The sequence below is a fragment of the Homo sapiens genome, chromosome 7 (genome assembly GCF_000001405.40).
Source record: "Homo sapiens chromosome 7, GRCh38.p14 Primary Assembly".
In the NCBI taxonomy this organism is placed as follows: domain Eukaryota; kingdom Metazoa; phylum Chordata; class Mammalia; order Primates; family Hominidae; genus Homo; species Homo sapiens.
Genome location: NC_000007.14, coordinates 147,120,840 through 147,143,892, shown reverse-complemented (window position 1 = coordinate 147,143,892; position 23,053 = coordinate 147,120,840). Strand labels below are relative to the sequence as shown.

Genomic DNA, 23,053 nt, shown 5'->3' with positions numbered 1-23,053 from the left:
GGCTTTACTTCACGTCATGCTCCTGAGAATACATTTTCTGGCAAATGTATACACGCTTTCATTTTACTCCTGAAATAGTTTACCCAGTACATCTCTAGGCTTTAATATCTTTAAAAAAAATCTCTTATTATAAAAGTATCAAATTAAAATTTAATTCCTGATCAATTTCACACACATTAGCCTCCCACAGTGAAGCAATTATTTCCTTTGAGATATTTGCTACTCTTCTTTTATAATGAATTTGGTTTATATAAACTGATGAAGATAACAGAATTGTAAAGTTATAGTTTATAACATCTTGGTATCAGTACATTAAAAAAATCAATCAACTGGATATCTAGAAACATGCCATAAGTAAGACATTGTGCTAAACTCAGAGGTGGACAGACAAAGGAAAAGTGGGATTGTTGTTCTTAAAAAAATTTAGAAGATGAAGCATTTTTGAACAGAGTATCAAATATCTTAACAATATAATAAATCATGTCAAACAAATGTAAACAATAATTTAAAATTTGTAAAGGATTTGAGATCGCCATGGAATTAGTATTCAGGCTTTTTGTAGAGGACATGTGAGACCATCTTTAAAACTTGGGGGTTCATGAAAGATTGTTGAATGGGAACATGACTCAATGGAAGCAGTCATTTTGAAATTGTAATCAGGAGGAAATGTGTGGAATGGACTTGTTTAGAGAGGCAGGAGGCAGAGAGAAGAGCAAGGAAACTGCAACAGTCTAGGTGTGAATCAAACCAAAAAAGCAAAGATGAAAGTATTGATTACCTATTTCCTGACACATGAGTGGCGTTAGGAGTACAGATATGAGGGAGACATAATAGTAGAGGAGTATGTGATTTAATATGTAACAAAAAATAATTGTTATTCAAGATACAAGGCACTATACTAGAGGATGGTAGATTGTTTCCTGGGGTTTGGGGAAGGAAAGTATACTAAAATTGGGCAATAAATGATAAATGGCAGTTTGCTAGGATGGAATATAGAGAAGGAAATCCTTGTCAGGGAGTGGAAAGTAGTCAATATGACGCAAAGTAGGAGAAATGAGGCCAAATGCTCCAGTGGAGCATAGTTTGTGCATGTTCTTGTGTGGCATGCTAAGAAATCAGGACTTATTCTTTTTTTGTTTAATTATACTTTAAGTTTTAGGGTACATGTGCACAACATGCAGGTTAGTTACATATGTATACATGTGCCATGTTGGTGTGCTGCACCCATTAGGAGGAGCTGGTGCCATTCCTTCTGAAACTATTCGAATCAATAGAAAAAGAGGGAATCCTCCCTAACTCATTTTATGAGGCCAGCATCATCCTGATACCAAAGCCTGGCAGAGACACAACAAAAAAAGAGAATTTTAGACCAATATCCCTGATGAACTTTGATGCAAAAATCCTCAATAAAATACTGGCAAACTGAATCCAGCAGCACATCAAGAAGCTTATCCACCATGATCAAGTGGGCTTCATCCCTGGGATGCAAGGCTGGTTCAATATAAGAAAATCAATAAACATAATCCAGCATATAAACAGAACCAATGACAAAAACCACATGATTATCTCAATAGATGCAGAAAAGGCCTTTGACAAAATTCAACAACACTTCATGCTAAAAACTCTCAATAAATTAGGTATTGATGGGACATATCTCAAAATAATAAGAGCTGTCTATGACAAACCCACAGCCAATAACATACTGAATGGGCAAAAACTGGAAGCGTTCCCTTTGAAAACTGGCACAAGACAGGGATACCCTCTCTCACCACTCCTATTCAACACAGTGTTGGAAGTTCTGGCCAGGGCAATCAGGCAGGAGAAGGAAATAAAGGGTATTCAATTAGGAAAAGAGGAAGTCAAATTGTCACTGTTCGCAGATGACATGATTGTGTATCTAGAAAACCCCATCATCTCAGCCCAAAATCTCCTTAAGCTGATAGGCAACTTCAGCAAAGTCTCAGGACTTATTCTTTAGTAATGGGAAACTATTGAATTATCTTCCTTGTATTGTAGAAATAGAAACTTGGATAATATGGGAGACAGAATTAGAAACATAAGGGAGATTACTTAAAATGCTCCTGTGAGAACCCCAATGGACATGATAAGGACATCATTGATGTCAGGTTCTGCCTTCAACAAATATTTCAGATGTGTCATATTCCACAGTACCTGATCCTGTGTGATCATGTAACACCAAAGTGTTTCATGAATATGAGAGGTAGTGGCCAAGGTTAGTGACTTTAGACTCAAATGCTCTGGGCAATTTTTAAAGCTCTTCTATTCACTAGCTGAAAGGGGCCCTGGTGAGTTACTCATGTCTATTCCTGTGTTTTTTTTTAATCTATGAAATGCAGATGATAATGTCCTTCATCTTGTGGAGTTGTTCCAAGCATTAAATGGCTTAAAACCGTTGTGTACATTATGTTTGTTTCAACAGTGACTGAAACAGAGAAAGAACTCAATCCATGATAGCCAGTAGGCAATCTGGCTCCAGAGTCCATGCTCATAACGCCTATACCCTAACAAATAGGTCAGCAATTGAAGATAAACATTCTTTTAGGCAATAAGATGCCCTTGATTAGTTTTTCAAGGTATGAATTTTTGAATTAGGGTAAAGAGATAATGGATGAATGAGGCACTTTAAAAGAAGGGTGGTGATTGTTAAATCTTCGCATGTGTCAGGAAAAGATAAAAGGCAAAATTTGATTTTTCTCAAAGTTTTGAACTCGTGTCACCAGAAGAATGACTTTACCATTTGTATAAATGAGATAGAAAGGTTTCTCAATAATGCAGGACCTAACTTACGAGGTTATTGGAGCCATAGCAAGATAATTAATGCAAAGGCTTTAGCACAGTGACAGGTATAGTGTAAGCATTCAATAGTTATTATCTATTATCACAGTTGTCATCATAATCTTAGCAGTAGATAAGAGGCATATCTGGATGGCCCCGGAGTCTCATTCTCGCCAGCCTTTATAGCAGTACAGCAAGGAGCTAGCTCAGCAGATCTGAGGGAGCACAAAAGAGAAGTTGCCTGATAACTACCAATGAGCTCCAGAGGCTCTCCTTTCCTAACAGGACAACTTTTCTGGCCCCTGCCCATAAAATTATGTACAGCATTACAGATGCAGGTCTCTCGATCCTAGGATCTTGGCCATGGGGTTAGCTGACAAGCTGTGCTCAACCAAAGCTAAGATCTTAGGGGACTATGTGAACTTTACTAGTTTTCTGCTTGTAGTTTTCCCCAATCCACTATATGTTAGATTTGCATTCCAAGAAGCAATAGGAATTTGATGACAAAGAATACAGGGGTGGCTGAGATTTGGCACAGGTGTGCACAAGGATTGATAGCAGCAGTTGAGATTGGGAGGTAGTTAAAATTCATGCCCAAAAGGGTAAGCAATATTCATAGGCAAGAGGAAGTTATGACCTAAAATAATCAAGTCAACCATGTCAGGGTTAAAAATAAAATAGCAGAGGATTGGAATGAGGGAAGGAGAGAATCCTGGGAAATTGGAGGTGAGCAGTACTCCAATATCCAGGCAGGGAACAGGCAGCAGGTTGTACGTCTAGGGGTAGCAAGATCTCGGCCTCTGGACAGAGGTTCAGCAATAGAGATTCAATCTCGGAAAGACACTCAGAAAGCCTGGAAGTGCTAGAAGAAAGACTAGAAGTGATTGTAGAGAGAACAGACATCTAGGCAGGTCATCAGTATCTTTCAGAAAACATCAGAGTCTACCAAGCGCTACAGTAAGAATCTAGGCACAACTGTAATTATAAAATTGAATCGTAGAGAATGAATGAAAGGAAAAAAGCACTGACTGGAGAGAAGAAAGAGGACTCAGAAATAGCACAGAATTTCAGTTCCCAGAAGTAGGGTCTGAGCTCAGGTTAGAAAAGCCTCAAGGGAAATATATCAGAATAAAATAAGTCAGAAAATGTAGTCATGATTGCAGATGGGGCCATATCCATAATTATTTCCTGATACCATGTTTACCAAAGGTAATTACTTTCTATGCATGTTGAATGACTCTCCCAAAATTTTCTTGTGAAAAACCTTGATGAAGAAAGGAAAGAGACTAAGAAATATATGTGGCTAAACATGATACTGAGTTTCCAAAGGAGTCATTCTTTCAGCTGATCCCAAGTCACTTTCAGAGGCTCACAGAATCTGCAGAATCCCTCCCCCAAGAAGGCTGATTTCCACATCTAGTTACAACCAAGCAACAGATAACCTAATGAGCCTACATTCTTCCCAAATTACTTAAAAATTAAAAGGTGAGGGAGGTAGATGCTGGGCAATGATACTATCTCACAGTCTGAATTTCCTGGTCAAGTTAATTATCCCTGGTAATTCTCAACATGAGGTTAATGGGGGGAGTGGGAAGTGGTGTGGGGAAGGTTCCAAACCAATGACTGCTTTGTGTTTTTTCTGATTATGAAGGTACATCATCCCTGATTGTTTCATGCCAACACTATTTATTTTGTTAACTATTTGAAACAAAATTAGACACGCAATTGCAAAAACATCTAAAGTTGACTTAGATATATCTCTACTATGTAAATCCATATTGCTTAAATTTACCAATTACTCATTTATCCACTACAAAAGTTTCAACCTTACATGAAGTGTCAGCCCTTACACTTAAATGAAAGGTAAAGGACCACATTGTATATGTACTTCAGGACATCATTCTGTACATGTTAAGTAGATACAATATTATCTGTTAACTGAGAAATATACTGGCTTTTCAGCAAAGTTAATTTGCTTCTATGTCCTCCCTGTTCTTGTCTTAGAAACATCTTCAACTACATGCATATATTATTTTTGGAGTTCCTGGGCTATGTTCTTTGCTATTCTTTCATAATTCATTTTTATTCTCTTAGTATCAACTAGTGATATCTGATTTTTTTTTCTCTTCGATTTATTTGTACAGTAAACTGAAGCTTTTGAAACACAGTCTGGTTCTCATTGGCACCTTTTGCCTCCATTTTATCCAACAAAGTTACTAAAACTTTATTGCCTTTTTGGAATTTTAAAAAATTATTATACACACATACACACAACATGTTTTATTCATCTTCCCTGAAAAAGGCATAGAACATTTTAAAAGGCTCAAAAATATTGTAGAAACTAGAATGGAAATGGTGTCCTGGAGTGTGATTATAAATTAAAATGTCCCTTTTGCTTTCTAAAGAATAAGTCAATATCTAACATCATAAAACTCTCCCCCGGTCCTTTTTTTCCTTTCATTCTGCACTATAATGCTTCTATTGATGAAAAATGTGCACCAGCATTCACTGCAGTATAATTAAAGGTAGATTTCCACTCAGTTCGCATGATAGTGGTACAGCCACACTAGGAATTGATATATAATAAAAAGTCAGTTGGGTGAAGCTACCCAGGAGCAACATACCATTGACTCAAATGCCTTTTACTTGGTACCATGTGGCTCTCACAGCAAGTCTATTTGTGAATTTCAGGGAATAAAATCAGCAAAATATGTTTTAGATATGTCCAAGGGTATCTTATTTCTATGTGTCTATTTAGATCTAGTACTCAGATCTTTATCTATCTCACTTTTGGGATCCACCAAACAATAGAATCTATTCCTTTCCAGCTCAGTTCTAGGCTCCTAATTAAAGTGAGTACAGTGCTCTATGAATCAGAATTTCTTAGGCTCCATTTTCGCCCTAAGAATACAGAGCCATGTTTTATCTTTTGTATCTTAAGATGATGGATTTGCCTTTACCGGAAATTTTTAGATATCTACAAGCCCATCAAAAGGTACAAAAATCTAAAAATTACTTTTTAGCCACTTATTTTGTAAAAGTATGGTGTATGTAGATTATTTGGGAATAAAGTGATGATTTATTTATTTATTCAATCTATTCCTTTATTGAGAAAAAGGAATATGTTGTTACCTGATAGCTAGCAATAGTTTTAAGGGACAATACTTTTTATCTATCTACCTATCTATCTATCTATCTATCTATCTATCTATCTATCTATCTACGTATCTATCTATTTTCCAATCATTTATCTACTTATCTATCCAATTATTTACCCAGGTTGAAAAATAGTTTTAAAATTACATAGATGGTGCGGAATTTGTTCAAAATGAGTTATGAATATTTTCAAATAATTAAACATTATAGACACAACCTCCAAATTTCTGCACCTGATTATAAAATGCTCCATTTGTATGTAAATGCAATTGAAATTCTGTTGAAGCTTATTATTTAAGGTGAAACTTTTAAGAAATTGGCTGTACATGTTTCTAAGTAAGGAAATTAGAATTTTTAAATTGATATGCTATTTAATTTCCATTTGTAACATTGTTAAGCATCATACTTTTCAGAAATATCATTTTATCCTCAATTGTTTTGTAGCATATTGTTTTTGACTTCTGAGAACAATTGATGTTTATTGGAGAAAATATAGATATTAGAGAAAATATATTAAAAAGTTAATATAATGGACTGATAACCCACCAATTAGAGATGATCAACATTAGTATTATATTATTTCATTCTGATTTGGAATGAAATAAAATTCCTATATTTATAATAATGACATTAGATTCATAGTCTACTTAAGTTTTTATTAAAAATTTTATTCTTAGCATTTTTTACCATGTTATTAAATTTTATATAAGAAATGTGATTTATAATGACATAATAGTATTCCACATAAAAATACACTCTTTAAAATCACATGTCCATTTTCAGTAGTTTGTTTTCAATTACTTTGGTTATTGTATATATGTTGTGATAAATAACTCTGGGTGCTTCTTTATTTTCTTAGAATCAGAAAAACTTAAATTTAATGGATCAAAGGGAAGTAACATCTTTTAAGGCTTCTAATAAATATGGTTTAAACTTGAATTAGAGAACATATCTTGTTAAATAAGTCTCCAATTATTTTGCTGTAAAACATAATAAAACAAATCTCTTAAAGTATTTGTAGTAATGCTGAAACATTTAGTTTTTGAGTTACAAGAATTTAAGACATTTTGAAATAATATCAGTATAGAACTGAAAAAAAATTTTCAGTAAACAACTAAAACATCAAAAATTGTATTTCAAATGAGACCTTTTTTCTCATATGATGAAAAGGATGTCTCATGGGGCAAGTTATCACTGAACTTTGGAAAACGGTATAAATTAATTTTTTAAAGAAATATTAATATGCTGGCTACATTTCCAAGTGTTCATAAAATCAAGAACAGAGATATTTTAATTGCTTAGAATAGACACTGCCTGGAGTGTTCCCAAACACATTTGCCCAGATTGAACTGAGAACTATTTCCCAGCATGCTCCCAGCCACACACTGAACCAAGAAAACTCCCACTCCTCCCTTGAGACACCCAATGGAACACAATGATTTACAAAGGAAATTTTACTAAGAAGCAAAGTAAATAAAACAAGTCCACAGAAGATTTCCTTTGGAGATGAAAATACAAATGAGAAAATCTTTTCTGATTACATATTTCTGAGACAGTGTGGACACTGAACAGCCATTCGAAAATTGAAGCAATACCTACATTAACAAAACAAGGATGTTCCAATACTTGAGTATAAGAAAACAGCTGATTTAGGACAGGACATATTCTGAATGACTTTTTGGAAAGGCTTTGTTTATACATGGAGAGAAGTTAATTTTTTTCCAATAACTGAGAGAGAATATTAAGATAAATCACTTTCTCCCCACTATAATAAATGCTGAATCACATTGTATTACCTTGTTAATATTGGCAGACGACAACTGAGTATTGTTCTAAATATGTTTGTATTTAGTGGCATAAAATTGAGGCATTTTGAAATAAAAACTTACTTCAAAAGGTAGGTTTTTTTTTTTGCTATAATTCAAATAGTAATGTACATTAATGCTTTTTTACTACCATTATAATATTATAATACTGTTCCCATAAGACAAATTTAGTTTTCCAATATAGAGTGATGGAGTTAATACTTCCAGGCAACTAAAACTTTTAAAAATTCCAACACTTCAAATAAGAAAAAGAATGCAGGTCAGGTCGGTGTTTTCCAAACTGTATTTAGGACATGAAATTATTATAGTGGGTTATGGCTTTTTTTTTTTTTAAGAATAAAGCAAAAGAAAAGAAAATATCACACTTATCATAGTGCATCTAAAATAGCAAGGCAAGTTTTATTTCATCAAACTTTGTGTCAGTAGGTTTTGGGTATGACATAAAATATTTTCTTACTGTACTTTGATCAAAATTATTTGAAAAACATGGTTCTAGGTCCACCTTCCCCAGAGTTTTGAATTTTAAAGTTAAAATGAAAATTATGCCCAGAATGAACAGCTATTATTCATTAGACCCTTTTTGCACCTGTTTAATATTATCATTTATGCCTAGTTAAAAGTAATGCCTAAATATGTATTCATAAATCAGTAACTTCTGTCCTAAAAAATGATGTACTGGGATAAAATTGAGTCACTTTGAAATAAAAACTTATTTCAAAAAGTAAGTAGGGTTTTTTGTTGTTGTTGTTTGTTTGTTTGTTTTTGGCTATCCATCAGAAAACGTTGATGTTGCAACTTGTTCAATATTTTCATGGTAAGATAATCCACTCTGTAAATTCAAGGCTACTGAGTTTGACTGAATTTCATAAGTCAAGTCTACTGTTGATTACTAATGAGACTCTTGAAGACAGTAATCACAACTTGGAAAGAAAGATACAAAGATAGGGTGAACAATATATTAAACATTATTTTACTTGTAAGATGTATTTAATATTTTAAATTAATTCCCAAAGAACAGTGTTGACCAAGATGGAAAAAAAGGTTTTTGATCTAATTGGGTTACATTCATCCTGGACCATGGAATTTATTAAATAAAAACTAAGTTACCAGTATATATTAACAGTATCTGAGAGTCTCTATATTACCTTCTCAGTGCACTACTTTGTGTGTGTACACCAAAATTTTATCACTGGTTATTTTTCTTTTCTAGATTTTCTGCATTTTCTAAATTCTTTCAATCAAAATATTTGACAAAAGGAGAAGTGGACTGACATTCTTCAATGCTCATGCTGATAAGAGTAGAATAGCTGTGATACAGATATATTTCCCTTTGTTAAAGCAAACATTAGAATCCTGACTTAACTGTTTTCTCAGTGTTGCCACTTTACTAACTTATTTACACATTTAATTGAATTTGATAAAATACATTAAAAGACAGAGGAAATTATGTCCTATGGTTTCCATATGTACTTTTAGATTGAATGAATGAATATAAAATATAACTTTTTTAAATGGTTGAATTTTTTTTTCAACTAATGTTTCTCAAATATGAGCACTTAGTTTCCACTATGTATGTATGTGTGTATGTATGTCTGTATATATATATATTTATATAAAATGCTTGAAGCAGTAAGGTATTTTCACTGGATTATAGAAGGGTAATACTACGGAAATCTTTAGATTTTATATCTTTTCAATTAATTTGCACAGATTCTTGGCTAAATTGACAAAAACTCTTCAGTCCATTTTTATTAGGTTTAAGCAAATCTATTAAGGTGAATTAACTGTCATGTATTGGATTTCTTTGTTCATTCTATCTTTAATTTTCAAAATAAACACAGCTTAAATTAGGTGAGAGTATCTTGGAGTACTAAATTACACCAAATCAAATTAATACATGTTTATTGACCACTAGGGTTAATATCTTATCCTTTCAAATATATTGGCTCCTGTTACATGGAAACCCACCAGCAAATCGGATTTGCTCAGAGACTGCAAGGAGACAGGCCTTCATACTAATATTTTTATGTTTAGTCATTAGGCAATAATCATTAATCATAACAATATAATGTGGGAGTTTTTCAACTGTGGCAAACATTTGCTTTTGTTTTTGTTTTATCTGTTTTTCTGGTCTCTCCAGATATTTTCGATTTGCTGTAAACCTCCCTAGGTATACTTATAAACGAATGTAGTGATAAAATATGGTTGATTAATCATTTTGACTAGACATTCAAGGAAAAAGCAAAACTAATAAAGCAGAAATGGAGAAAGTGAATAACTAGGTATTTCCCAATACCTTTGATTTCAATAATTTAGGCACATCTCTGACATAACATTTCTTGTGGCTTCCTTGAATCCTTTTCAGTAATAGACCATACATTCAGGCCACACACAAACATAAAGCCTATTTTACAAGAAAATATATATGTTCTATAGCAGGGGATATTCTGTTAGTTGAAAGGGGTCAGAGTATTGAATTCAACAAATATTGGAGAGCACCTCTTACAGGTACTATTCTATATGCCAGAGACAGAAGAAAAAGGAGCATGGTCCCTGCTGTCAAGGAGCATGGAGCCTAGAGGGGAAAAGAGAGGGACAAAAATCATAGTGTGTTAGAAACCGTGTCAGGTATATGCATAGGGTGCCATGAGAGTATATGGCATATTCAGAAATCAGAGTCCATGGTCACCCAATTGAGCTCTCTGTCATGACTCCTTTCAGTATCTGCTACATCTGTACTAAGTGTTCAGTAAATGTTAGTTTTCTTTGTATCTCCCATTTCTAAGTAGTTCTTCACAATATATATGTATGACTATTGCAAAGACTATCTCAAGAAAAATAGATGAAAACAGTTACTATTTATCAGTCCAATATTGAGACTAATTTTTCTTTGCTTATAACATCACAATTTACAATGTCACCTTTCTTTGTACTGTATTTATCAAAGAACTTCCAAGGTTGCGAAGTCTATTCAAATAACAAGAATATTACCTAAGCCTCTATTTGTCATATCACTACAAAGCCAAATTTAAAATTATCCTATTTTTGCCTAAGCCAGTCTTCCGTCAGTTGATACACAAATCTTGTCATTCCACCTTTATATTCACTTTCGTTTTCTTTTCCAACCATTTGCATAATTTTAGCAAGATCATTTTGAAGTTCTGATTCCAGCAGTGGAATATTCCTTAAAGTTAAAATTAGTATAATCTTGTTACTAATAGTAAAAGGTACACGAATGTTGATAAAGAGAAAAGATACCAGATACAATTGTGTTTTTAAAATAAACATTCCTTGTTTTTAAACATAAATTATTCACTTAAAAGAAGAGCAATTTATCTATTAAAAATAAACTAGCATTGGTAAGGAATAGATTTTGCTTTTCCAATCTCAACCAATTTTCTCCTTCACCCATGCCTTGCTCTCTCAACAACTTTCCAAGTTTTCTTTATTCAATCAGCACACACTACAACCAAGTAAGCGTCTTGAAGATCTGAATTAAAACCTAATCCTGAGCGTGTAACACCAGCAAAACCAAACAAAGCACAACATTAACTCTGGAAATTGCAATAAGTTTCAGGAACAAATGTCAAATAGGTTTCACTGACCTGAGGAAATATCGATTTGGCTCATCTTGGTCTGTGTGATGTTGATGTGAACACCCACTTTGCTTTCAGTGAGGTCAATCTCCACATTGCCCAAATTATCCGCAAAGTGACTGAAGACCAGGAGACCATTGGGGTTCCATGTCCTAAACTGGAAACTGACTGAGAACAGGTCCTGGTTAAGCCGTCCGGGCACCTCCAGGTAACTTGTAGCGTTGAAAAAGACAGGCACCGTATAGGGTTCCACACAAGAAAAGCTCAAATTTCCCTGTAAAATAGAAAGACAGGCTCTGAGGAAAACACAGAATAAAATGAACATCCATGTCAGACCACTGATGAAAGTATAGTTCTACAAGTTTTGAAGCACAGCCTGAGCCTAAGCTAAACTCACACACAGCAGCAGAGCATGGATTCAGTGACTGGATGCACCACTACGGATCTACTTGGAGTGTAAGACCTACTACTGAGCAGCAGTTGGCTGTCTAACTATAACAAGCAGCTTCCACCATGGGATTGACAGCCAGACAGCCTGATGTGATAGGCTGACCATGAGTTGTAAAGTGTGTATGTGTGTTGTGGGTGTGACTGTGGATCACTAGACTTTCTGAAGACAGCAAAGCTACTGCTGGCCGAACATAAGTCAGGGAGAGAGATGCTCTGTCCTATTCTGGGTGGTCAATGCCAACATTAATTAACATATTACTCTGGTCTCAGTGGGGACTATGGTCATATGTTTGCAATTTATGAAACTGATATTTTAGGGAAATATATTTGGATTTTTATCTATATACCTTGTATATGCATATATAGATAGATAGATATTAAGTTTTCAGCATTAATGTAATTGTGGTTGTTGGAGATTATTTTAGTATCCAACTCAAAATCCCATTTAAATTCCCATGAATTGTGCTTATATCACAATGCATTAATTCCTGTATAACTAGCACTATAAATGGGCTAAATGGAGATAAAATTTGCAATAATTCAGGCTTTCCCCTCCCCTTCTATACTCCTCCTCCTTGGTATAAGCAAAAGAAAAAAAAGAAAAAAATATTTATCATTCAGATACACTAAATTGTATATTTCAGTGCCTAACTACATTCTCTTTACAGGTCTAAAAATCTGTATTTGCTTCTAACTTCTTTTATCCTATCATAATATTTTAAGGAATGTAATTGGATGATATTTTCATTGGTTCTATCTCTATGTCTGTCTCTCTTTTTCTCTATATATTTTTAACAACACCATATATATGTATATGGTATATGTATATGGTATACATGTGTATGGTATATGTATATGTATATGGTATACATGTGTATGGTATATGTATATGTATATGGTACATATATATGTATATGGTACATGTATATGTATATGGTATATATATGTATATGGTATATATATGTGTGTGTATATATACACATATATACATATATATACACACATATATATACACATATATATATGTGTATATATATATATACCTGATGCTGATTTCTTCCATTTTAGCACAATAACCATTAAATCTAAGGCAGGCAGTCTCTCTGAATTAATATTCAAATTAAATTTGCTCTGTACCATCACAGATGATTATTTTTAAATGCTCGCTTTTACTGATAAAAAGAACTGCCTATGCATAATAATTGAGATTTTATAACTGACCACATACCTCTTTTGAGGGGATTGTCTCCCTAGCAAAATTAAAGATCCTTCCAGAGTAACGGTGCTGACTTTGGAGTCAATGCATAATGAGGGAATGAGTATGTGGGGGAAGAGGAGGTAGAATGAGTGCTCAGTCAATTTCACTGAAATACCAGCACCCAACATCTTTGAAAGTACATTTCTTATATAAACACTTGTCTTTGCAGGGTTGCTTGCAAAATGTCCTATTTGTCTCTATCCCATCTAAGATTTTCTGTATGTATGTATATTTTGATTCAAAAGTTTATTCTATGTTTTCTCACTGCAATTATTTGTTAAAATAAAATGTAATTATAGAGCATAATCAAACTCACATATTGTGAATCCATAATCTTTTTTTATTCTTTTATTTTTGGGGGGACAGAGTCTCAGTCTGTTGCCCAGGCTGGAATGCAGTAGTTCAATCATGGCTCACTGCAGCCTCAAACTTGTGGGCTCAAGTGATCCTCCTACCTCAGCCTCTCAAGCAGCTAGGACTACATGCATGCACCATTATGCCCAGCTAATTTTTTAATTCAATTTGATTTATTTTTTTAATTTTAATTTTCTTAACTTGTTGTAGAGACATGGTCTCACTATGTTGCCCAGGCTGGTCTCAAACTCCTGGACTCAAGTGATCCTCCTGCCTTGGCCTCCCACAGTGTTGGGATTACAGCAGCAACCCACTATACCAGGCTATACATCTATCTTTTTATCTCCTACTCATAAAATAAAAGTTATTTTTCTCATAAAATAACTTATTTTTTCCATGTTAAATCGCAATGTTTTCATCTACAAAATGTTTGTATCCTTCTTGCAGTATTGTTCTCAGATCATCCTAAATATAAAATACGACTTGCCTAGCACAATACCTGTTGCCTATAAATGGAGCTATTATTATTTTTCCATAGTCAATATACTTTATGAGAAAATTTAACCAAAGTTCAAGTTTTAATTTCTAGTATAAATTTATGATTACTTTAAGAAAATTATTTATTAAATAATCATTTGCATGAAGTTATTGTTTTAAACCTTCCATATTCAACCTGAACTGTTTATTCATTCAGGGATTTCCATTTGTCAAATCATTTTATGAAACCCTGGGCTCAAATTTGAGGCAACGAGACCATCAGAGCTCTTTTGGAGCACAGTGCAAACACTCATGACATTATTGTACTTATAGTGCATAATATCTTCTTATTGTATGGGTCTCTGGAATTCTAAGCTCTCCCAAATAGCCTCTCTGGGCTAAAGCAGCTCCTGGTCTTGCAGAGCCATAGGGAACTCTCATACTAAAATTGCAAACTAAGTGTCTTTTAGGGATGTGGAGTAGTGTCGTTTGGAAGCATGTGTGCTGGGGCTTTCTTTGACTTTTGCTCTCCTTCCAAAATCTAATGAAACCTGGCACCAACTCACACAAAAGGCAGAAAAAAATCACTGTGAACTTCTGTGGCACAGCTTTGGCTATGCAGTGGAAATCAAGCTTTATTTAACTGTGTAATATTTAGTCTGGTTAGAGATTTGCTAAAAAGTGTATTTATTTACATATTCAAACAAATCATCTTTGGAAGCACAGGAGTAAATATAATAAAGTCCCTGATTTAAAAACTTTAAAAATATTAAATTAAACCATAAGCAAGTAACTTAGAGCACATGTGATGAGATATTTGAAAACACGATGCTGCCGGTTTAAGGGCTGCTAACTGCTGGGATGAAGCACGTGCCACGAGTCATCCAGAAATATTGAGTCTAACATTCTGTGCTCCGTGGGAATAAAACCAACCACCTACTTCAAGCTAGTCCCATTAGCTATTCTCAAAGAATAGCAAGTATCTATACTAATTCTGATAACTCTAATGTTTGTTTTACATCATTTTGCCCAAACACAAATATGATGAAAAATGTCATGATTTTGTTGTTGTTCAATAATCCAAAAAACAAAAATGTTACTTGATATTTTATAGACCAATATTTTGCGGGTGAAAATCCTTACCACATTTGAGGGCTCTAATTTCTTCCTTCTGGCAAGATCAGTAATGTTGACGCCATTGTAGTTGATGCTTTCCATGCAGCCTTTGAAATTCTTTCTACTGCTGGAGCTGGGCTTGCCAGAGAAAGGGATGCCTCCAAAGGTTATCTTTGAGAAAAAGAAATTAAATGTAAACGTCCACATTGTATTATGATGAACTAGACAAAACTATGAATACAGTGAAGGTCAAGTATCTATACCTCAACCAAAATATACAAATATTATAGCATTCTGCCTCCAAAATCTATGGCATATTAAATTATGTTGTTGTTGAAGTGTCTAATGGAGTCATTCATTCTGATAATTAGATTATAACTTGAACAAAAAAAAGCAATGATCCTTTGCAATTTTACTGCCCCAAAGGCATTTTATAAATTTTCTTGAGAATATTTTAAAAGATTTTTATTCAGCAAACTTCTTGTATCAAATAATATTAGAAATATATTTTTATGTTTATCATTCAAAGACATACTATCAATAAATGCCTCCAGTAAGCATGAGATAATCAGCACTAATTTAATAAGCTGATAAAACTGCAGCCCAAAGCAAGGGATATCGTATTTACCCTATGCAGACTTGTAGTCTAATGACCATTATTGTCAAAAATTCATTAGATTTATTTTGGATGTAGAAAATAGTTCAAAAAATATCATTACAATATTGATTAGGGACCACTTAGGATTTGGGAACTCAAAGTTGAGCTGTGTAGGCTTAAAGATATTATAGGTCTTTTAAATCTTAAGAAATAAGACAATGCTACTTACTGTGTTTCTCTGGCTGCTATCGCTTATAGAAAGAAAATATCCATTTCTTATACATTTTTGATCAATATACACTATAGCATTAAATTTATATGATACAAAATTGCATTTAGTATTTGCATGGTCAAGGATGATATTTACTATGAATAGTGAATTAGTAGTAAATGAAGCCAACCGCTAATTATAATATCAAGATATACAATACTTGTAATATATATCTTTTAAATTATCATACAATATTACCATTATCTATTTTTTTTACTATCAGCTTCATTAAAATGTCAGAAAATGCTCTGTGGTCCAACCACTTTATTTTCAATGAGAATATATAACTATAAAGAATCAATGACAGCCTAATATCCTATCATTAGTTACATTAGGGATTGGGGTTAGAACTCACTAAATGGTTAGGAATCTGTTAACTTGAGCCTGTGGTGCTTTTCCAGAGCATGTTTGATGGGGTGAAATGAAAGCAACAGTGAAGACATTTTTAAAAATCACGACTTCATATTTGAAGCATAAGTCAAATATTCTGTGTTCTGGAAGGTCCATGAACAAATTATGTTCTATGATTTAGTGTTATGGCATCTTAAATGCTTAAGTACTTTTAGGGGGGGAAACACAAATTGTGGTTTATGAGGTGATGGTAAAAAAAAAAACAAAGGCCTCATTTACAATAAAATCAATTATTATTAATAATGGTTAGCTGAATATGTATTATTTGCCACACAGTTCATATATAAGAAGGTAAAAGGAAAATTGAGGAAAAATATATCCCAAAGAATCAGAAAACTACAAAGAAGAAATAGTAATCTAAAGTAGAATTATTGGGAAAATGTTTTCAAGTTGCACTGAAATGAACATATTAGGTACTACCTAAGTGTGCCTAGTACCAAAGGCAATCATTTTTGATACTAAAATGGAGTACTACGTCTCCTGTTTACAATCTTTTTGAACAATTTTTCCCCAACTGACAGTAATAATACCGTCAATGTTTAATATTATTAAATACATATTCCTCTGTGTGCATATTTCTTTAATTCGGACCTTTCACTTTCTGCAGGGGATTCAAATTATCCTTACAGTTTCCCTGTTTTCAGCAACTCTAGGCACAAGTCCACCTCATCAAGGTGCTCTGGAAAAGCAATGCAGGCTCAAGTTAACAGATCCGAACAATTTAGTGAATTCTGACCCCAATTCCTAAGGTAACTAATTATAGGATATTAGGTTGTCATTTATTCTTTCTAGTTATAAATTCTCATTGGTGGGCCAGGCATGGTGGCTCACACCTGTAATCCCAGCACTTTGGGAGGCCAAGGCGGGTGGATCACCTGAGATCAGGAGTTCGAGACCAGCCTGATCAACATGGAGAAACCCCATCTCTACTAAAAATACAAAATTAGCTGGGCGTGGTGGTGCATGCCTGTAATCCCAGCTATTTGGGAGGCTGAAACAGGAGAATAACTTGAACCCAGGAGGCGGAGATTGCGGTGAGCTGAGATCTTGCCATTGCACTCCAGCCTGGGCATACAGAGAAAGAGTCCGTCTCAAATATTAATAATAATAAAATAAAATTCTCATTGGTAAAATAAACTGGTTGGACCACAGAATATTTTCTGACACTTTAACGAAGCTGATAGTAACAAATATTGTTGCAGTTGTCCGATTAATATTCAATTATTCCTGTGGCTCATATGATACATTTATTAATGACCTTGCCATCCAATAACCTTGCCTCTAAAGAAATAACTGCAGTAACGATTTTGTTAGCTTTCAAGTGTACACAAAATGTCGCAGGGACTATTGGATACCTCTACATATCCTTTCTTCCTACCCTCATTAGGGAAAAAAAATAATGCTTTTCAGCTGGGCACATTGCTCCCCAGTCAATATAATAAATTATCAACTTCTTTGAAGCCAGTTTTGGTCTCATGATATTTAAGTGGAAGGGCTGTATGCGATTCTAAGAACTGTCATTAAGAGGGGGAGGACACAGTCTTGTTTACTCTCTCTTCCTTCTTGCTAGCTGAAGTGCAAAGTGAAATGTTAGCAGCCGTCTTTGAGTGATTTGCAACAGGGATAGAGGAAGAGCAAGATTAAAAAGGACTGTGATCTTGAAGATCGTGGAGCAGCCATTTGCCTCCAGTCTTCTTTTACATAAAGGAGAATAAACGTGCATCCATTAAATGTAGCCTATGTAATCTTAACTCACACACATTTTTTTCTATTACTTCCTGTTGCCTCCTCATAAACCCTATGGAAAGAATGCGATTAGATTCATTTCATCAAAGGGGAATATGAATTGTCCACTGTCACACAACCATTAAAGGGCAGAAACAGGTTCAAACTCGGGCTTCTCCTCCTGTGACTGATTTTCTTCCTAGGCAGTCTGTGGTTCTGCAATGGTCAAGAGAGTCATTCCTCTACTTCCCTAGCAGAGCTGTATTGCAAAAGACAACAGCATAATATCCACAGTGGGTGTCCTCTGAAGAACAGAGAGAATCTAAGCCAAACACCATTTTGCTGCTCTCCCCTTTGGTTTTTATTGACTACGCTGAGGAAAAATGAAGTGAAGTGCACGTATATATCACCACACAGTCTCAAGCCACCCTGTAGCTAGCAGCCTCATTGCAGGTGGTGATTGGCCCACTTTGCAGTGTAGGCAGCTACAAGAGGAGGGGATGAGACAAACTCTTAGGACTAGGTCACAAAAAATGTCCATATATGCCGGGAGCGGTGACTTATGTCTGTAATCCCAGCATTTTGGGAGGCTGAGGCGGGCAGATCACGAGGCCAAGAGATCGAGACCATCCTGGTCGACATGGTGAAACCCCATCTATACTAAAAATACAAAAATTAGGGCTGGGTGGGGTGGCTTACACCTGTAATCCCAGCACTTTGGGAGGCCGAGGTGGGTGGATCATGAGGTCAGGAGATCGAGACCATCCTGGCTAACACAGTGAAACCCCATCTCTACTAAAAATACAAAAAAATAGCCGGGCATAGTGGCAGGTGCCTGTAGTCCCAGCTACTCAGGAGGCTGAGCCAGGAGAATCACTTGAACCCGGGAGGCGGAGGTTGCAGTGAGCCAAAATCGCGCCACTGCACTCCAGCCTAGTGATAGAGCAAGACTTCATCTCAAAAAAAAAAAAAAAAAAAAAAAGGAAAAAAAGGAAATGTCCACATAGAGTTACATCAAAGGAGTGAACTTGTATTCCATCACTTCTTTCATGATGTTCATCTCCAGAAATTGTGGTAAGTATATTTAATTTACGCTAGCAGTGCTGTGCTGAATCCCACTCATACTGGTTCACAAGAACCGACTGCTAAGCAGAGCTATTATTAAAACTTCCACTACATAAGCTATAAATTAAGTAAATTACATGAAACACAAAATTCATACCTATTCAGAATTTATCTCTACACTTTACTTTCGTATATGTTCTTGAGGTCATTTATATTTATTGCAACTATATGATGGAAATACCGTCATATAGTGCTATTAGGCACCTCTTTGCAACTCCCTGCTCAGTTCCATATATGGTAGCATGAAATCAACCATGGTGGGAAATTCGCACCATGAAAATTAACAAATGCTATATATCAGGGCATTCCTGACCATTCCTCCCTGGAGAGAGCTGGTTGTTAAGCATTTACCAGCATACCTCCACCTTTGGGCCTCAATGCCTTTGTCCTTAGTGTACTCTGGAAGAATTGATTGAGGCAGTATAATCTTGGGGAAGCAGGACATTGCATCTTCAGGTTTTGTGAAGATAACAAGACGAGCTTTCTCTTCCTTTAGGCCAAAGCCTTTAAATAGTTCAGGAATGAATGTTGTATAATTTGTATTATTTTAGGTTTGAAGCTAATTTTCATGCAGTCTGTGAGGTTTGAGTATAGTTAGTGTGTGGATATATCAAGGAGATAAGTACAACAAAACTAGAGACTGACTCTAATACAGTCCGTGAGGTGTTTGTTTGTTTTTTGTTTTGTTTTTGAGATGGAATTTCACTCTTTTTGCCCAAGCTGGAGTGCAATGGCATGATTTTGGCTCACTGAAACCTCTGCCTCCTGAGTTCAAGTGATTCTCCTGCCTCAGCCTCCCAAGTAGCTGGGATTACAGATGCCTGCCACCATGCCTGGCTAATTTTTGTATTTTTAGTGGAGACGGGGGTTTCACCACATTGGCCAGGCTGGTCTTAAACTCCTGAGCACAGGTGAACCACCCGCCTTGGCCTCCCAAAGTGCTAGGATTACAGGCGTGAGCCACCATGCCTGGCCCAGTCCCTGAGGTTTTTTCTAAACAAATAAGCAAAGGGAGTCCCTTTCCATTAAGAGAAAAGTGTAGCAATATAAAGGTAAGCACAGCCACTTTTATTACATTTCATGCCAATAATTGCAGTCTCTAAGAGGACCATAATCTGGCAGTAGCCAGAAATGGTAAGTCTACCCTGATTCTTTGTCAGTTAATTTAAATTTCTTCCTACTGTTTCTGTCTAATAAATAAGTTCCAGGTATTTTAGTCTATACCTGCAGTTCTCAAACACGACATTGTATATAGATGGGCTTCAAAGTGTCCATGAAACTGCTGATCCGATATAGCAAGTGTTGTGTGTGCGTGAATAGTCATAGACTTCGTCACACACTCAACAGGGTTTATGACCCCAAATTTTTAATTTGGTTTTTTGAAAATTAGAATTATATTTCTTCATTCTTAATGTTCCAGAATTTTCACCTCTTCTATGGTACTTCAAAGTTTATTAACAGAGGATGAATAATTCATCTTTAAGATCTCTCATACATTGGGAGATAAGTCACATGAGCCAAGACACATACTAATTTAGAGAAGATAGAAATTTCTGGGATGTTCACATACATTTTCTTTTAACAATCAGTTTGCTTTTAAGAGTTTTTTTTAGGGGGAGGGATAAAATACTTTCCAATAATCTTAAATTCATTTAATGTTAATAAAGTCTCCATCAGTGTTTATATAGCATATTCTACTCTAAATTTTTTATTTAAGAATATATATCGTATATTCATATTGCAAAAAACTAGAAACTATTTAAACATAAAGATAATAGAAAACACAGCTATTAATCCTGTTTTTTCCATTTATTTTATGATGAGCATATTCCATATTCTTATAAAATTATACATAAATATACATAACACACACATATATATATGAATACATCTCCAATTTCAGAACTGGGTGCCAAGGAACATGAAGGTGGTGCAGAAAACTAATAGGGGTGCCATAGCATGTTTGAAATTTTTAAAGAAAACACAACAATATTTGACACCTTTTGGACATTGTGTGAAACTCTAGCTTAAGGTAGTTTACTGTTCCAGTATTAGATAATGTGTCATTCCTTTTAATGATGTGCTGTCTTTGTGAATTTTGGATTTGGTCATTACTCTCATTACTCTGATTAAGACAGAGTATCATGTAGAGTAAAAGTGGAACAGAAAATTAGAATGCCATTGGCAAATCTGATCCCCATTTCTGCCAGTCGTACAGTGCAATAGCACTCATCCCATTAGTAATAATTGCTGTTGTTTAAGAATGAAATAAAAATCTACTTTCACTTTTATTTTGTGTTTATTTCTCTAAATGGCTACCAAAGTCTTAGGACGTAAATTTTTAGGTTGTTTGGACCTAACGGCTCAGGACTGCTGTGGAAAAAGTTCGAAGACACTAAGGGCTCCATGAACTAAGAAAGTTCGGAAACTTCTGGCTAAGTAATAGCATTGTGTCCCTTTTATCTTACCGTTCTGCTGCTTTTGTATGTATAGTGTTATCCTTTTCTCCTAGGATGTATAATACTGTGACAAACATCTTTTTTTCGTTGTTGTTTTTTTTGAGGCAGTTTTGCTCTGTTGCCCAGGCTGGAGTGCAGGGGCACAATCTCAGCTCACTGCCACCTCCACCTCCTGGGTTCAAGCGATTCTCCTGCCTCAGCCTCCTGAGTAGCTGGGATTACAGGCACGTGCCACCACAACCAGCTAATTTTTGTATTTTTAGCAGAGACGGAGTTTCACCATGTTTGTCCGGCTGGTCTTGAACTCCTGACCCTGTGATCCGCCCGCGTCAGCCTCCCAAAGTGCTGAGATTACAGGCATGCGCCACCACGCCCGGCTGACAAACATCTTAAAGAGCTCACCTACGTATATGATTAACAGTTTTAATGGATATTTTAAGGTTGAATTGCTCTCCAAATAATTTAAAAATATGATATACCTACTTTTAACCTATGAGAATATATTTTTATTTATATAAACGTGATCATTGATTATTTTTAATCTCTAATTATTGAGAAGGTAATATATGTCTTTTTGTTCATGAACAATCTTTTTAAAATAGTCTGTATTTTACTTTATTGCTTTTGTGATATTGATTCTGAGAAAACAGAGCTTGTCAAAAGACCCATCTACAGTCATGAGTTTCTAAATGACTTAATATAAACCAGAAACTAAGATTTCTTATTCAATACTTTATAATAAATATTAGACAACCCTCTGCATATAATGTACTGCACATTCTCAAGAAGAATTGATAACATGATTAACTACCAATGAAAGGATTACAAATTAAATTTATTCTGAATTTATTAAATGGCCTGGATAGCATGGTTCCTCTCTTCAAATTATTACATTGGTACTAAGATTTTTATAATAGTTCAAGTACTCATGATTATAAATTTAGAAATAAAATGAAACGAATTAATCAGGTTTTTAAAATTGTCAGTGTCTTGTTTAGAGAAGAAAATAAAAAAGGTGTAAGTAGTAATATAATTAACAATAATACAATACAGTAGGAGAGTGACACAATTGCTTGACATTTTATTACAATTTCTACGTCATCACATGTACCTCATAGTCCAAGTCCAGGTAGTCAAACTCTCCATTGGTACGGAAGTGCTGCATGCTCCTGTCCAGAGTGAGGTTAATGCTCCGCCCCTGGCGCTCAATGACCACAGAGTGCCAGTGGTGGTCATCCAGCAAACTTCCTGTCATCACTGATGTGTGGCCATATATGGGGCCAAGCTGGTTGCTTCCTGCGTACACAGAAGTGAAAAAGAAACAATGCAATGATGCTATGGCCAACTCTGTGAAGCAGAAGATCTTTCATTTACAGCACCTAGAGGCTGACATTCCATCAAAGCTCTATCCATTCGAGTTAACCTGGGATACCAG

General features: G+C 35.0%; 1 protein-coding gene across 2 annotated transcripts in view; it reads right to left on the bottom strand.

Annotated features, from left to right (window-relative positions):
- CNTNAP2 (contactin associated protein 2) overlaps positions 1-23,053 on the bottom strand; it is a 2,304,198-nt gene that overhangs the window by 1,277,106 nt on the left and 1,004,039 nt on the right. For both annotated transcript variants that reach the window (NM_014141.6, XM_017011950.3), the window contains exons 6-8: positions 22,730-22,914; positions 15,057-15,200; positions 11,384-11,648 (exon numbers count right to left, since the gene is read on the bottom strand). In NM_014141.6, the coding sequence (NP_054860.1) occupies positions 11,384-11,648; positions 15,057-15,200; positions 22,730-22,914 (594 nt within the window). The remainder of the gene's footprint in view (positions 1-11,383; positions 11,649-15,056; positions 15,201-22,729; positions 22,915-23,053) is intronic.